Source organism: Homo sapiens, chromosome 1 (assembly GCF_000001405.40).
Source record: "Homo sapiens chromosome 1, GRCh38.p14 Primary Assembly".
NCBI lineage: Eukaryota > Metazoa > Chordata > Mammalia > Primates > Hominidae > Homo > Homo sapiens.
The window spans coordinates 248,464,280-248,482,432 of NC_000001.11; the positions used below are offsets into that span (position 1 = coordinate 248,464,280).

An 18,153-nucleotide genomic window follows, 5' to 3' on the forward strand; every position below is an offset into this window, starting at 1 on the left:
ATGGCCATAATCAAAAAATCTTTAAAAAATAGACATTGGTATGGATGTGCTGAAAAGAGAACACTTTTATACTGCTGGTGCAAATGTAAACTTGTACAACCACTATGGAAAAGTCTGGAGATTCCTTAAAGATCTAAAAGTATATCTACCATTTGATCCAGCAATCCCACTACTGGGTATCTACCCAAAGGAAAATAAATCATTACACGAAAAAGATACTTGCACACATGTTCACAGCACCACACTTCACAATTGCAAAAATATGGAAGCAGCCCAAATGATCATCAATCAATGAGTAGATAAAATCATATATATTCATATATTCACACATATACTCATATATTCATATATATTCATATATTCACACATATACTCATATATTCATATATACTCATATATTCATATATACTCATATTCATATATACTCATATATTCATATATACTCATATATCTTCATATGTATATAGATGAATGCTACTTAACCATGAAAAGGAATGAAATAATGGCATTTGCAGCAAACTGGATGGAATTAGAGACCGTTATTCTAAGTGAAGCAACTCAGGAATGAAAAACCAAACATTGTATGTTCTCACTCACACGTGGGAGGTAAGCTATGAGGATGCAAAGGGATAATAATGATACAATAGACTTTGGGGACTTGGGGGAAAGGGTGGAAGCAGGTGAGGGATAAAAGACTACACATCAGGTACAGTGTACACTACTTGGGTGATGAGTGCACCAAATTCTCAAATTGCCATGAAAGAACTTATTAATGTAACCAAACACCACCGGTTCCCCAAAAACCTATTGATATAAAAAATATAAATAAATATCATATATATATCATCCAGGGGCAGTAGCTTATGCCTATAATCCCAACACTTTGGAAGGCTGAGGTGGAAGGATTGCTTTAGCCTGGGTATTTGAGACCAGCCTGGGTAACATAGTGAGACCTCATCTCTCCAAAAATTAAATTTTAAAAAATCAGGGAGGCATAGTGGCACGTGTCTATAGTCCTAGCTACTCAGGAGGCTGAGGTGAGAGGATCGCTTGAGCCCGGGAGATTGAAGCTGCAGTGAGCCACAATTGCGAAACTGCACTCCAGCCTGGGTTGACAAAGCAAGACCCTGACTCAAAAACAGGGCGGTATATATTTTACAGATACATCAAAGTCTTATCTGTGCTCTCTTGAATTCCCTCTCTTAGTGTCCTCAGACCAATTTTTTTAAACAGGTGTGTATCTTCCCTATCAATTTTTAATATTTTTATTGCAGATATGTGTCCAAATGTAATATTTTAGTAGGATGTATTTGTTAAATGGTAACACACTGATCATTCTGCAACATATTTTCCTTCAACTTTACTAATTGAAATGTTCACAATAAATTGGTATTAATATTGATCATGTGTGCATTTTCTTTATATTAATATTTAGGTTTACCACTTTTTCATGCTTTATAATGTAAGAGTATCTATCCTTGTATAATCTCCTTGGAAGTCTTAGGTAGTGAAGAAAGAACATCTTCAATGTTATGAGATATTACTGAATTCATCTCTAAAGGAGTTGCACTAATCTCTCTAACCATCATTTTTCCTTCTTCATTTATTTAACAAATAATCAATTTTTACTATTATGTTGGTGCAAAAGTGATATATGCCAGGCATAGTGCTAATGTTAGAAAACAACAGAGAAGAAAATAAATATATTTTGGTCTCCTTGTGCAATAACAAAAACCCAAACAGTGAATAGGTAAAACATACGATGTGGTCATGCCAGATGATGATATGTTATGAACATAAAATAGGGAACACTGTTGCAAATTTTAAATATAATTATGGATCAGTCAGAATGCACAAGGTAATGCCATAGTAACATCTCAAGCTGCATAAAAACATTGTTTATGTGATGTTCACATTGTAAATCTGTCAGATGGTACTCGGGGTCCACTCATCAAAAGTCCCTCAAGGACCTAAGATGATGGATAACTTTGTTGACCATTTTGTCATTTTATGTTCTAGAATATGTTTATATTTGTGGCTATACATGAAGCTTGTACAACTATTGAAGTATATCCATAAAAAAAATAAGTGTACAGCTCATTAAGGATTTCATAGCAGTACCTAAAATGTATCTAGAATTTTGCAATTTTACATATTAATAACCCTCCACCTGCCATTTTTAAATGCTTATTTAGATTTCTAACTTTCATACCTATACAGCATTTGGATAGCCCATTAATTTTTAATTATACATATTCATGTGGAATTTTCATTGAAACTTAGGAATAATTAAAATACAAGAGTGAGTTGAAGCTTGTGTGAAGAGTACAAAAGAAGGATTGTGATGTCTGAGGTGTGAGAGTTCTCACTGATTGAGTAGAGCACGCCTTCATAAAGAAATTGTCATATTATCTGAGCATTTATGACTGGTAGTTTATATAGAAATGCATTTGGTAAATTCACAGCAAAGAAGCAGGATACGAGAAGTTATGAAGGAATATGAAAGTGTGTGGTTTAAAGATACTCTGAGATATTGGAAGAAGCAATGTTGGAAGACAGGGTGGGTACCAGCCAAGGACAGAATATGCTCATTCTGTCTCCTGGTGTCAGTATCTGCTTCTGCAGTTGGGCTTATGAGTTGGATTCTGCATCTGAGGATTCAACCAATCATGGACTTAACCAATCATGGATTGAAAATATAATTAGGCTTATCATGGTCACATTGGTACAGACTTTTCTAAATTTTATTTTTGTTGTGACATAGGTGTATACATTTATGGGGTACATGAGATGTTTTGATACAGGAATGCAATGCATAATAAATGCATGATGAAAAATGGAGTATCCTCTCAAGCATTTATCTTTTGTGTTATAATTTTATTATACCCTTTTAGTTATTTTTAAGTGTACAATTAAATTGTTATTGACGATGTCAGTCTATTATGCTAGTACTTATTCATTCTAACAAATTTGTTGTATCCATTAACCATCCCCACCTACCCCTTCACCACCCCCAGTACCCTTCCCAGTATCTGCTAAGCATATTTCTAATTTATATCTCCATGAGTCCAGTTGTTTCGATTTTAAGGTGCCAGAAATAACTGAGAACATGCAATGTTTGTCTTTCTGTGCCTGGCTTATTTGACTTAGCATAATGGCCTCCAGTTCCATCTATGTTGTTGCAAATGACAGGATCTCATTATGTTTTGTGGCTATATAGTACCTATCATGTATAAGTACCACATTTTCTTTACCCATTCATCTGTTGATGGACACATAGGTTGCTTCCAAATTTTAGCTATTGTGAACAGAGCTGCAACAAACATGGAAGTGTAGATGTCTTTTCAGTATATTGATTTCTTTTCTTTTGGGTATATACCCAGCAGCGGGATTGCTGGATGATACGTTAGCTCTATTCTTAGTTTTTTCGAGGAACCTCCAAACTGTTCTCTGTTGCACCTTTAAATACAACTTTAAATGCAACTTCACATTCCCACAGAGTTTATGAGGGTTCCCTTTTCTCCATGTCCTCACCAGCATTTATTTTTGCATGTCTTTTGTATAAGAGCCATTTTAATTGGGATGAGATGGTATCTCATTGTAGCTTTGATCAGCATTTCTCTGATCAATGTTGAGCACTTTTTATGTGCCTGTTTTTGATTTGTATGTTGTCTTTTGAGAAATGTCTATTCAATCTTTTATCAATATATAAATCAGATTATTAGATTTTTTCCTATAGATTTATTTGAGCTCCCTATGTATTGTGGTTATTAATTCCTTGTCAGGTGTGTAGTTTGAAAACATTTTCTTCCATTTTGTGGGATGTCTCTTCGTTGATTTATTTCCTTCACTGTGCAGAAGCTTTTTAACATAATGTGCTCTCCTTTGTCCATGTTTGCTTTGGTTGCCTGTGTTATGGAGTATTACTCAAGAAATATTTGCCCAGACAAATATCCTGGAGATTTTCTCCAACGTTTTCTTCTGGTAGTTTCATAGTTTGAGTTCTTAAAGTCTTTAGTCCATTTTGACTATATCTTTGTATATGGCGAGAGACGGGACTAGTTTCATTTTTCTTCATATAGATATCCACTTTTCCCAGTACAGCTTATTGAAGAGACGATCTTTTCCCTGGTGTATGTTCCTTGCACCTTTGTAGAAAATGAGTTCACTGTAGGTATGTGGATTTGTTTCTGAGTATTCGGTTTTATTGGTCTATGTATCTGTGTTTATGCCAGAACCATGCTGTTTTGGTTATGGTAGCTCTGTTGTAGTATAATTTGAAGTCAGGCAATGGGATTCCTCCAGTTTTGGTGGGTTGGTTGGTTGGTGGTTTTGCTTAGAATAATTTTGGCTCTTCTGGGTGTTTTGTGCTTTCATACAAATGTTAGGATAGTGTCTTCTATATCTGTAAGAAATGTCATTGGTATTTTGATAAGGATAACATTGAATCTACAGATTGCTTTGAGTACTATGGATATTTTAACAATATTGATTCTTTTGGTTCATGAATCTGGAATATGTTTTCATTTTTAGTGTCCTCTTCAATTATTAATGCTTTATAGTTTATCATTAGAGAACTATTTCACTTCTTTGGTTAATTCCTATTTAATTTTATTTGTGGCTATCATAAATGAGATTACTTTTTAAATTTGTTTTAATCTATTTGCTATTGACATATAGAAATCTGCCTTGTATCCTGCAACTTTCCTGAATTTATTAGTTCTAATAGGTTTTTGGGGAGACTTTAGGTTTTTCCAAGTATAAGGTCCTATCATCTGTGAACGAAGATAATTTTACTTTTCTTTGAAATTTGATGCTATATCTATATCTCTATATCTATATCTATCTATATATATAGATATATTTACATATAGATAGATTTATTTATATTTGTTTCTCTTGTCTGATTGCTCTAGCTAGAACTTCCAGTAATATGTTGAATAACAATGGTAACAATAGTTGCACTAAAGTGCAAGACTAAGTCTCTCTTAATTTTCTTTAATTTTCTGTCCACTTTCCTCAAGCAGAAGGAGTCTTGCCCCATAGCCACCATAGCTGGTAATATGCTGAGTCTCACCCGGAGCCAGCATGCCTCAGAGTTTCACCCAAGGCCCTCATGACTCTAGCTGGTATCCAACCCTGATGTGGCTGAGCTGGTATCCAAGATGCAAGACAAAGTCCTCCTCACTCTTCCCTCTCCTCTCCTAAAGCAGAGGAAAGAGGCCTCTTTTGGAGCCACAAGCCGTGGAGGCTGAGGTTAGGGGATGAGTTTAGCTGCCCTGGCTGGTGTTTTAACAGGTCATGTGTCCCCCGAGTCCACTGGCTCTGGGCCCAGATTAGCATTAGGATTTGCAGCTCTTGTGGCCTAGACTGCCCTTCAGGTTTGTCTGTGGCTCCAGAGCCACTTTAGCCCTTCATGGTGAGGCTTGGGTAACTCAAGTTCCAAACACTGGGATTCGCAATTCCCTTCCAGCAATGGCTGGTTTAAATGCGCCCTTCATGGTGGGTGTCAGCTGAATTTGGTCTGGGTCTTCTTTCTGCTATAAGAAGGGCATCGCTGAGCTCAGTGTCTTAGAATTGCTGGCTCTCCCTCTCCTTAGTGCACAGAGAAGCTCTCCATACCACACCACCGCTGCTGGGGGATGAAGGGGTGGTAGTGTCAGTGATGCAATACTGTTTTTCCAACTTCTTCAATGCCTCATTCAGAAATATGAATTTAACTCCATGTACTGTGAGTGCTCACCTGAGTTTTGGTTCTTGAGAAGGTGTTTTTTGTGTAGATAGTTTTTAAATTGGTGTTCTTGCAGGGGGATGATCAGTGGAACCTTCTATTCTGCCATCTTGCTCCATCCTCCAGACTTTTTTCCTTGTCATTATTTCCTAAAAAATATAGTATAACAGCTATTTACATAGCATTCATATTGCATTAGTTGTTATAAGTAATCTAGACATGATTTCAAGCATACGGGAAGATTTGTGTAGGTTATATAGAAATACTCTGCCATTTCATATTAGGGTCTTTAGCATCATGGATTTTGGTATTTTCACGATGTCCTGGTACTGAGGACAGATAGTGAGGGATGACTGTACACAGGGATGAATACACTACTCAGTACTTGTACGTTTGTCATGCTAGAAAGACTCAGCAAAGTCTCGGAACCTTGCAGGCACTGAGAAAAGTGGCTCCCTTTTCCCATTCTCTTTCATTCCCAAATTATATAATCTAAATTCGATGAGACTAATATTTCAAGGGAAGTCTCTGAGCCTTTAAGGAGAGGGGCGATGTGGGAGAAGGTCACCCTGTCATGGAGAAATCTTAGACCACATTCGGTCATCAGATTCATAGATGTCTTAAGAGTCACAGAAGCATAGCAAGTACATAACACTCCTTTTGATTCTGAGAAAGTGACACTCAGAGCTTTTAGTGTCTTGACTAAGATTACACAATTAATTGGAAGCAAATATAATAAATGGTAAATGTTTTAGAACCTAAAAGGTTGTCAGACTCCGATATTTTCTCCTGAATCTGGGAAAGCCCCAGCTGTGTTAATGGAGAGTGTCTACAGATGCAACTTTTCCCCACGAAAGATGGCTTTGTAGGGCCATTTCAAAATATGTCAAATACATACTTTGGGGTGGAATATTTTGATTTTCCTCAGGGTCTGCTATCTGTCATGTGATGCTATACCAGAGTCAGGTTGGAATTTGGTATCTTATTGCCACTCAGTCTGTTTTGTCAGTCTTAGGAACTCTATTTCAATGTTATTGCTGGTCAGTTGTGCCTAAATTCCAAAAGATGGGTGTAATGAAGTGTGTCTCCCTTCTTATGTCCTGCAATTAAGCTTTTCAGCTTTCCTGAGATTCTCGTGGCCTAGAGGGGGTCTGTTCAGTTGATTAGGGGTCTTAGGATTTTAAATTTAGTTTACAGACTTCTGACACTGGTTTTGCATGATCCTCCCTTTGTGAAATTCAGATTTGCTTTTACAAAGAGAGCTTATTTTAAATGTCTGATATGAAAATATAATTTTAAACTAGAAAAATGAAGTTGTTTAAAAAATGTGCAACGTCATGAGAAAGATGGATTTGCTTTTGGATAGATGCATCGCATAAATGAAAAACATGTTTAATTCCCACGTGGACCGTGAGTGGAAAGTTAGAATATAACCATCAAAAACAAATAGCAAAAGAAAACAAAAATACCAAAATAGTGGATTCTGAGAGGGTCTTAAAGAAAATAGAAGCTCCAGGAAAGAGACAATGCCAAGTACAGGAAAGATGAATAAGAAGGAAAAAAAAAAAAAAAAAGGAAAACAAGGCAAAGAATTAAGCAATAAACACTCATCTCAATTCCCTAATGTGAAGAAACTGACGATGTAATTTTCTCATTTTCATTCTGAATTTAAACCCCTTTGCTTTGGCCTTAGAATGGTGAAAGCAGCTTCACTGAGCTGGCGTGGCTTAGATTTATTGTCTGATGGAACAGAAAAGATGGAGCAAAAGGTTTGTGCTCTATGTGCCGTGTTCGTCTCTTTGTTGAAAGGTGTCTTGATGACCTGTCTCTTCAGTGCTTTATAAAGGGGATAAGTAAGGAACAAAGATACCTGACTCTTGTTGCTAGCTCTTCATAATTCTGACTTTAGGTTTCCTGAAGTCCCAGGGTTTTTTTTTGTTTTGTCTCTTGTTTTGTGTGTGTGCTTTGTTTTTGTTTTGTTTTTTTGTTTTTTTGCCCTAGGAACAGTGCGTTGTATTTCACTTTGCATTTCCACATGCCTCAGTCACTATTAGTTTTTTCCTCAGCATTATTTCTCTAACCTGCAGTACAGCAACCCTGAGGATGACCAAACCTCAGTCATGGAGCTCCTGACTCTTCATTAGTCTAGAAGTTAGTGGGCTTTTTAACTTTGAGACAATTGTATCAAGCATGATTAAAACAATGCAACTGGAAAATTAAAACTGAAATATTCAGACAAAGCAGTCACTGAGCAAAGCTATGAATTTATGGGAGGGGATGGTGATTAGTTTGTTATGCAAAGGAGATGCAGGACAAGAGGATCCCTAGGCTTGGTTGCAGGGCTGCGGTTTTATGAAAGATTCAACACAACTGCCTCATGTGCTTTAACTTCATTTTTCAATCACTATGAACGGAATTTTGGACATTTTAGGCATGATTTTTGGGGGATAAATGGTATCAGCAAAATGAAAATAAATATTTTGTTTATATTTCAACTAAATACTTGATATTTAGGGCATCTGCAGCATTTATTGCTGTGATTTCTTGTAAAAATATTTCTCTGCCTGACAGTTAATAAATTAAATGCCTTAGATTTCACTGGGGACTGGGAGAGGGCTCACTGTGCCTACTGCTGCTCTCCTGCTCGGCACTAGTTCTGCACCCCAAGCTACTCTCCTCAGGCAGGCGGGACTCTCCCTCTGCTCCTCTGCCCCAGTCAGCACTACTTATGGAATGCAACCTTGTGAGGAATAGCAGAATAAATTGAAAAGTTTTCGTGAGGAAAGTGGACTTAAATGGAGATATATAATGGTAGAAGAAATTTAAGGAGATTTCCAGTTTTCAGATTATTTCATGGTATTAGTTATGATATTTGTACCATTAACAATATTAATATTAACCTTATCAGCCGTGATTTCCATCACTGAGTCCTGGATGAGCTACTGTATCCAAAAAGTAGTGAAAATTTCAACCCAACACTAACACTGTGTTACAGACCTAACGTGCATTCCCTACTTCAGTCTCTAACCATCCCACAAGGCCAGTATACTTGTGTTCTTAATTCTGGGGGGAAATAAGACATAGAGTGTACCTGTCTTCACTCTTGACTTAGCTCATGAATAGTCACCTCCCCAGATCTGTTTCGTAGTTCACTTTAGCTTGTGGCCAAGATACAACTTGACCTAAGATTTGAACTTATGATTTTATGTCAGTTTAAATCAATATTTAGAAAAATAATTCAAAGCACATGTCTTACCAGAAAAAGGTCAGGAAAGCCATGTACATAGGAAAGATTTAAAATTAATGACTTTTTTTTCCTCAGGGGGAAACTGAGCCAGTCATGTGCTCAGGGAATCAGACTTCTCAGAATCAAACAGCAAGCACTGATTTCACCCTCACGGGACTCTTTGCTGAGAGCAAGCATGCTGCCCTCCTCTACACCGTGACCTTCCTTCTTTTCTTGATGGCCCTCACTGGGAATGCCCTCCTCATCCTCCTCATCCACTCAGAGCCCCGCCTCCACACCCCCATGTACTTCTTCATCAGCCAGCTCGCGCTCATGGATCTCATGTACCTATGCGTGACTGTGCCCAAGATGCTTGTGGGCCAGGTCACTGGAGATGATACCATTTCCCCGTCAGGCTGTGGGATCCAGATGTTCTTCTACCTGACCCTGGCTGGAGCTGAGGTTTTCCTCCTGGCTGCCATGGCCTATGACCGATATGCTGCTGTTTGCAGACCTCTCCATTACCCACTGCTGATGAACCAGAGGGTGTGCCAGCTCCTGGTGTCAGCCTGCTGGGTTTTGGGAATGGTTGATGGTTTGTTGCTCACCCCCATTACCATGAGCTTCCCCTTTTGCCAGTCTAGGAAAATCCTGAGTTTTTTCTGTGAGACTCCTGCCCTGCTGAAGCTCTCCTGCTCTGACGTCTCCCTCTATAAGACGCTCATGTACCTGTGCTGCATCCTCATGCTTCTCGCCCCCATCATGGTCATCTCCAGCTCATACACCCTCATCCTGCATCTCATCCACAGGATGAATTCTGCCGCCGGCCACAGGAAGGCCTTGGCCACCTGCTCCTCCCACATGATCATAGTGCTGCTGCTCTTCGGTGCTTCCTTCTACACCTACATGCTCCCGAGTTCCTACCACACAGCTGAGCAGGACATGATGGTGTCTGCCTTTTACACCATCTTCACTCCTGTGCTGAACCCCCTCATTTACAGTCTCCGCAACAAAGATGTCACCAGGGCTCTGAGGAGCATGATGCAGTCAAGAATGAACCAAGAAAAGTAGTAAAGGGCAAGCATTGTCCCCTCCTCTTTCTATAATTCCGTTACTCCCTATCTCTCCTCTCTTTTGCCCTCAGGTCTCCGGGTCCCCAGCACAAAGCCCACTCATATTTTCCTTCTTTCTTATACGTGGCGTTTTCCCTCCATACTGCTTATTGCTCCCATTTATCTCATTAGATTTAATATCTTTAGAGTGTTTTTAACTGCACTGCAGTAGCTGACCTATGAAAGACCTTATAGAGTGCCTTTTATCTTATCTCCCATCCCAGGTTCATTGAGCATTTTAGTATGAGACTTGGTCTTAAACACTTTACCCCTCGAAGAGACTCATTGTAAAGACTTAGAATCCTAGCAGAGCCCTAGAGGAGGAGTATTGGCTGCTCCCTCCCTTTGCAATACATTGTAAACCTCGGTTCACATTGGCAGCCACTGGGGTCAGTGTTTCTGCTATTGTATCTCAGTAAGTACAAAGAAACGCATTTTCTCCAAAGGCTGAAGTGAACTTTGTAGTGTAAACACCAGTAGTTTTAGCATTGGCCATTGGAACCACCTAAACCAAAAATGAATCCATTTCAAAATTCAAAGAATAGGTTCATCTATTTCATAGTATGTAAATAAAAGTAGTTCCAGATTTAGTTTCTTTAGGATTTAGTCTATTCCAGACAATGGTCTACTATGTTTACAATAAATATCATAACAGTCGCGTGCGATAATGGAGACTTAGGAAAGCTTAACCCCCTCAGCATGTTTCTTCTGAAACTGGGAAAACCAGCAAAATGGTTATAAACTTGTCACTAACCTTTAGTTTGCCAGATGTATATCATGCTACAAAGGTAACTTCTGTAAATCTATGAGCATCAGATCACTATCATTTTCATTAACAAAATAATTCATGGGTCTAGTATTTCTGGAACGTGAGAAATTAGGAAAGAAATACATTTGTTCTAATATGCAAGAAGCTGAATCTCGAGCTGTATCGTGAAGCTGTTAATTTACTTCCCCTTGGCACAGCCCTGACCTTGCCTGATTTACCGACAATGAATGGAAGCCAGGTGTTCCCATGCCTATCGCATCTTCGAGAGAAATGACAAGTACTTGCTTTACATGACACATCGACCGAACACTTTTGCTTCTCACTGAAAATTATTCCTGCAGTGCATGAAAGGAGTTTGTCTGAGTTTGTGTACAGAGATCTGAATTTGGAAGTAAATTCCACCAAGTGGTGCAGAAATATCACTTGTAAGAGGGGGTTGTTAGAGGTAGGTAAAATTTGGTTTCAGAAATTGCTGTAATTAAATAAATGGGCAAAACTGCTCAAATGGACACCACAGATGACTAATTTAACAATGTTCTTATGTTGTCATTATATTATTTATATAATTATTTACCTCAGGAAGGTGTACAGAGTGGGATTGCTGAATTATAGAGTAGCTCTATTTTTAATCTTTATAGAACTGTCATACAGCTTTCAACACAGGCTGTTGCAACTTACGTTTCTACCAGCAATGCACATGTACAAGTGTTCCATTTCCTACACACACTTGACAGCACTTGCTATGTATTGCCTGGTAATAGCCATCCTAGCAGGTGTGAGCTGATATCTCATTGTGGTTTTGATTTGTGTGGCCCTGATGATTAGTGATGTTGAACATCTTTTCATTCACCTGTTGGCTATTTGTATTGCCTCTTTGGAAAAATGCCTATTCACACTGTCTTTACCATTTTTAAGTTGGGTAATTTGATATTTGCTAATGATTTTGTCAGTTTCTTTTATATTTTGGATGCTAACTCCTTATCCAAAATATGGTTTGCAGATATGTTCTCCCATTGCAGAGATTACCTTTTCATTTTATTGTTTCCTTTTCTGTGCAAAAGTTTTTGCATGTTGATGCAGTCCTACTTGCTTATTTTGCTTTTGTTGCCTTAATTTTTGTGTCATATCAAAAATATCACGGCCAAGATCAATGTCAAAGAGCTGTTTCCCTATGTCATCATCTAGGACTTTTACAAGTCCAGGTCTTCCATTTAAGTCTTCGATCCATTTAGATTTGGTTTTGGGGGAATAGTGTAGGATAAGAGTCCAATTTCGTTCCTCTGCATGTATGTATCTGGTTTTCCCAATGCCATTTATTGAACAGACTATCCTTTCTTCATGCTGCATTTTTGGCACCCTCATCAAAGACTAATTGACCATATAAGCATGGCTTTATTTCTATAATTTGTAATATAGTTTGAAATCGGAGTCTGAAGCCTCCAGCTTTGTTCTTTTTATCAATATTGCTTTGGCTATTTGATATTTTTGTGCATTCACAAAATTTCTAGAATGGTTTTATTCTATTTATGTAAAAAATGCCTGTGGATTTTAGTTGGGGTTATACTGAATCAGACATTTTCTGGAGTAATATGGACATTTAAAGAATATTAGTTATTCTAACCCATTAACATGAGATATCTTCCCACTTATTTATCTCCTCTTTAGTGAACAGATCTTTCACTCCCTCAGCTGTATTTATTCCTATGTATTTTATTCTATTGGATGGTATTGGGAATGGTATTCTTTTCTTAATTACATATTTGGATGGTTCCTTTTTGGTGTATAGAAATACAACTCATTTATATATGTTTATTTTGTATCCTGCAAGTTTCTTGAATTCTTTAACTCTGATGGGATTTTGCTGGAGTCTTGAGTTTTTTATATGTAAAATCATGTCATCTGCAAACAGATGGCAAGATAATTTAACGTCCTCTGATTTGAAAGCCTTTTCTTTCTTTTTATTGCCTAATTGCTCTGGCTAGTTTCTGGTATTATGTTGAATAGAAGCAGTGAGAGTGAGCACTCTTGTCTTGTTCCTGATCTTAGCGGAAAATCTTTCTCTCCATCGAGTATGATTTAGCTGTGAGATTTATTATGTAAAGGCACATTCCTTCTATAACAAATCTGCTGAGTTCTCATCATGAAAAGATGTCGAATTTTATCCAATGCTCTTTCTATGTCTATTGAGATGCACAATTGTTTTTGTCATTTATTCTGTTAATGTGGCATATCATATTTATTGATTGGTGTATGTTGAACCATCTTTGCATCTGTGGGAAAAAAACTTGGGACCCCAATTTACTATGCCAAAAGGAAAAAAGATACTAAGCTGAAAGCTGAGTTATGCAAGAAACTGCATTTCCTTTGGTTTTTGTTTTCTTTTTGTTCCTAATCAGTTAACTACAGATGAAAGGTTAGAGTAACAGGCAGTAACTCCACATTCTCCTTACCTGACGTAAAGCGATGATCCTTCTACTGAGTGTGAAAGGAATACATAAATGACTATTCACCTACCTGCTTCTTTGCTTCTTTTCTTCTTGCAACCTGTGGATTATCATACTCTCCCTCTTTCCCCTCTAGCCTGCTTTCCCCTTTAAATATTAAAGTCCTCAAAATTATCTTTAAAGAAAAGCACAGACCACAGACTGTTTCTGTAATTGTGTTCTTTTTTCCAAGCATGTCCTTTACCTTGGTGAAATAAACTTTCAATCTGATTGAGACCTGTCTCACATACTTTTGGTTTATACATCCTAGGAATAATCCCACTTGATTATGGTGAAGTATCCTTTTAATGCACTGCTTAATTTGGCTTGTTAGTATTTTGTTAGTTTTTACCAAAAATTATGAAAGCTGTTTTTCAGGAATATTGACCTATAATATTTTGGGAGTTAGTGTTCTTATCTGGCTTTGGTTTAAAGGTAATGTTGGCTTCAGTAAATGAATTTGGAAGTGTTTTTGCCCTTCAATGTTTTGAAAAAATCAGAGGAGGATATGTGTTAGTTCTTTAAGTGCTTGGATGAATTCACCATGAAGTCTTCTAGTCCTAGGCTTTTCTTGGGAGATTTTTTTTTTTTTTTTTTTTTTTTTTTTAGACGAAGTCTTACTCTGTTGCCCAGGCTGGAGTGCAGTGGCATGACCTCGGCTCACTGCAACCTCCGCCTCCTGGGTTCAAGTAATCATTTCATGTGCTGAGTACTCTTATACCTACTTTCTTAGCAATTTTCAAGTATATAATTGTTGAAACTGTAGTCAGCATGATGTACCATAAACCTCCTGAACTTATTTCTCCTGCTTAAATAAAATTTTGTATCCTTTGACCCACATCTTCTCTTTTCCTTCCTCACTCCAAACTCTGGTAACCACCATTTTACTCTTTGTTTCTATGTGTTTGACTATTGGACACTTCACATATAAATGAAATTGTGCAATATTTGTCCTATACCAGGCTTATTTTATTTAAAATATTGTCCTCTGGGCTCATCCATATTTTTCCAAATTATAGAATTGTCTTTGACTTTTGACAAACTGATCATAATATGTCTCAGGTATAATGTTTTGGTTTGTTCTTGCTTGGGTTCCTTTGAACTTTATGAATCTGCATGTCTCTATCACTCACAAATTTAGGAAATGTTGTCATTTTAGCTTTGTTTTTTTCTCCTTCTGTGAATGTCATAATACACATATATATTTGCTTGATGTTGTCTTATAGTTCCCAGATGCTTCTACATTTTATTTTTTTTGTTCCTCTAACTGTATGATCTAAATTCAAGTTCATTGCCTCCTTTCACTGTATGATGAAATATGTTGTCAAAGTACTCTGTTGACCTTTTCACTTCCATAATTGTATTCAGAATATTTTACAAGCTTTACACTAAAGTTAACGAGATTTACACACCTCCATTACAGTACTAGAGTGTTCCAAATTTGACTACAAATCTTCTCAGCACAAGAATTCTTTCCTTTTTTGATGTCAATGTCTTTATTATATTTCTCATTTTGTTTATGCATTTTTTTATTAGTTTTAGATCTCTGTTATTTTGAAGCTCTTTGATCCTATTTAATATGATTTTAAAATTCTTAGGCAATTCATAGATTTCCATTTCCTTGGGGTTGCTTAATGAAGCTTTATTACTTTGGTGGTATTTATTACTTTGGTGTCACATTTGCCTGATTTTTTTGTGACTCAAGTAGCTATGCATTGATGTGTGCACATTTGAAGTTGCAAACAGCTCTTCTGGTCTGCATAGACTGGTTTCAGTAGGTAAAGACATTCTCCTGTCATTTCTCTAGGCTAATAAGAATTACCTCCAGGACTGCAGTTGAGCAGGGTTAGAGCCATGTCATGTGGCTACTCCTGAGTCTACAGCAGAATTTTTAGTTGGCAAGCTTGTTACCAGAAGTCGAGTTGAGTATAAATCCTGTCTGGTCTCTTGGTAGAGAAGACTGCCTCTAGTACCTTGGTCAATAGGGCTATCGCTAGGACACTCTGCTTCAGGGTTCACATTTGGTTCTGTAGATGGCATGCCTGTTACCACGTACAGAAATGGGTGTGGATTCTATTGAGTCCCTTGAAGGACTCCCATTATATTGGTGGGAAAGTCTCTGGGCAAGAAGGATTGTCCCCAGACCACAGTTGAGAGGACCTGGAACTGAGTCTCAGGGCTGTGTCATGGACCACAGCTGAGTCTGAGGTCTTCTGTCCTGCATGGATGGGTGTACCTCCTGCATAGTCCCTGTAAATATAAGATATAAGATATCCCCAAGCTGTGGTTGAATGGAAGCTGGAGCTGGATAAGAGGGCTGATTCAGGATCTCCAGCTGACTGATGTCAGCAGTCTTGTTTACAGGGGCATCGATCAATGTGTCACCCAGGAGGTCACTGAGTGGGCAGGACTGCTTTTGAACAATGGAAAAGGGTGCCAAGTAACAGAGCTGCTTCAAGATTGGCAGTCGGACGTAGTTTTGAGAGCCTGCCTCTAGGCACATGAACAGGGTTGCCTCCTGGCAGGTCTCTGTGCAGGAAGGTCTATTCCCAGACCATGGCTGAGGGGGACTGGAGCTGGGTCATGGACTGCTTCAGGGTTCAGAGCTAGAACTAAGGTTAGCAGGCCTGTGACTTGAGGGTACTGGTCAATGTGAGTGCCCCTGGGCCCCTTGGCAGATGGTTCAGGTGGCAGGACCAATGCCAAACAGGGCACTAGCTGAGTCCAGAGGGATGTTAATTCTGTGTCTGTAGCCAGGACCACAGTCAGTGAGCCTGCCACCTGGGTGTGGCCCTGCCTTCTCAAAATAGCTCTCTTCAGTGTTGGGATTCACCAGTTTTGACACTTCCTGTCAAGATCCAGAAGTTCCCACCAAGGGACTTTTGTGCCAGACAGGCTGCTATATTATTGCTGCTTTGAGGGGATACGATTATAGGAGCTCCTCTTCAACCATCTTGCTAATGTTTTTAATCTCTTTGTATTAAGAATATTTCTCTAGCACATTATTCAACTTAGATTTTACTCAATAAGTTAATTTAAAACCTGTGACACCAGACAGCAAGTTATCTGCTGTCAAAATGCAACAGTGACACTCACATATAGGATAGACATTCCTATTCTGAAAAAGAGAAATTGGAAGTTAAATAGAAGTCTTAGAGCCAAAGCAAACTTGAGCCTGGCAGGGCAAGTTTCGTTAGATTTCAGGACTTGAGGTCCTCTTTGGCTTGATATCCTGACCTCCAGTCCATAAAGGTGGTGGCCCCTCTTCCTTTGTTCTGTGCATGTATCTTGCATTTCTTTATATCTCTGATGGTGCCTTCAGGATCATTTACAAAATGTTTGACATGTTTTATATATTTATAGTTTAATTCTTAAAATGTTATTTTTGTTTTTATAAATATTTTCTCAGTTTACATTTAAAATGTAAAAAAAGTAGAACTTTAAGCAGGGTTTCCACCATAAATATTAATGTTGAAAAAATATATATCAATAGCTTTTCTGTCACTGTTAATGCTTTTTAAGTATTTTTAAATGAAAAATATTCTCCAAAAAATTAAATTATAAAAATCTCAGAATCTCAATTATTGTGGAAGAATTTTATTAAAATTACTTTAAAATCCAGACCCGACCTCTAAGTATTTGGATATCTCTGTGAGACCTATTGTGCTTGTTTATAAAAATCTGCAACATTTTAACAATATCAATTCTTCCCAAATGTATTTCATTGTATTCTAATCAATACAATTAGTTAGAACTTTTGAACCTAGCCAAATAGATCAACTGAAAGGAAAAACAAACTTAAAAACTTGCTTATTTTGAACATGAACATACATGAAGACAAGAATTGTTTCACTAGTTGTTTAAAATTATCATGAGGGGACACCCAATAAAACAAGATATTTTAAAGGAATTCAGTGAAAGACCAATGGAAAAGAAGAGATAATGTGGAAACCTAGCCTCCCCTGCACTGGCTTCTGGTATAAGATGTTGACCCTCCTTCCTTGTGTGATCCCGTTGTTTCCTCCACACACCCTGGTTCTCAAAACCATGATTTCAGGACTGCCTTCTCTTATGACCTCTGGATTCGTGTATACACTAGCCTTGCATCATCTTCATGTAGATGTGTACTGGGCAACTGGAGTCCCAAATTTCAGTTTCAGCGTTCCATGCCAACCTGCCCAGCCCCAATATTCCTGTGTGTATAAACGGCAATCCAACTTCACCTCCTCCACCACACCCCTTGCCCAGACACCATATGTCTCATCAGGACTAGCTCAAACCCTTTCCTGCATTCTCGCTCAAGCCTTCTCAGTGATAATCATATACCTGTTCCAAATGTCTTTCCTCTCTGTCCGTCCTCCAGTGATATCTCAGAGTGGGATTCACCGAGAAGCAAGGAGAGTCAAAGCTTTGGGGCCCTTCACTCTCTGGAGATTCTCTGAGTGCTGTCTGTTGCTGGGAGTTGTATGGTGGGGTGGGGTGGGGAGGGGAAGCCAGGCTACAGTCAGAACAGACTGTGAGCATGCCTGGTAAACTTCCTGAAGAGTTCTTAGAAGACAGGGGCCAAACATTGGCTGAGACTTCCTTTCTTTTTCTAAGTGCACATGCACTCTCTTGAGTGCCGTGTATACTTTTGTCTTCCCTTTCTTAAACACACCTCTGCCTGTCCCTGGTCCTTCTCAGGACCATCATGATTTTATAGGACCGGTTCCTTGGTTCCACTTCTAACCCCATTTTCTGTTTTGCCAACTTTCTCACCTCAGTCTGGGGCCACAGATCTTCTTGCTGCTGTTCAAACGTTGCAAGTTACTTTCAGTCTCACAGCTTTTAAC

The 18,153-nt window shown here is 38.3% G+C and overlaps 1 protein-coding gene and 1 long non-coding RNA gene across 2 annotated transcripts; one reads left to right on the plus strand and one right to left on the minus strand.

Moving 5' to 3' along the window:
* Window positions 1–475: 475 nt before the first annotated feature.
* On the minus strand, window positions 476–17,782 carry LOC105373279 (uncharacterized). Its single transcript, XR_007067006.1, has 3 exons — window positions 17,648–17,782; window positions 5,744–5,880; window positions 476–4,405 (listed from the first exon to the last, which is right to left on the minus strand). It is a non-coding gene; the product is annotated as an uncharacterized LOC105373279 (long non-coding RNA).
* OR2T3 (olfactory receptor family 2 subfamily T member 3) lies at window positions 9,072–10,028 on the plus strand. Its single transcript, NM_001005495.1, has one exon. The coding sequence runs from the start codon at window positions 9,072–9,074 to the stop codon at window positions 10,026–10,028; it is 957 nt and encodes a 318-aa protein (NP_001005495.1).
* Window positions 17,783–18,153: the final 371 nt, after the last annotated feature.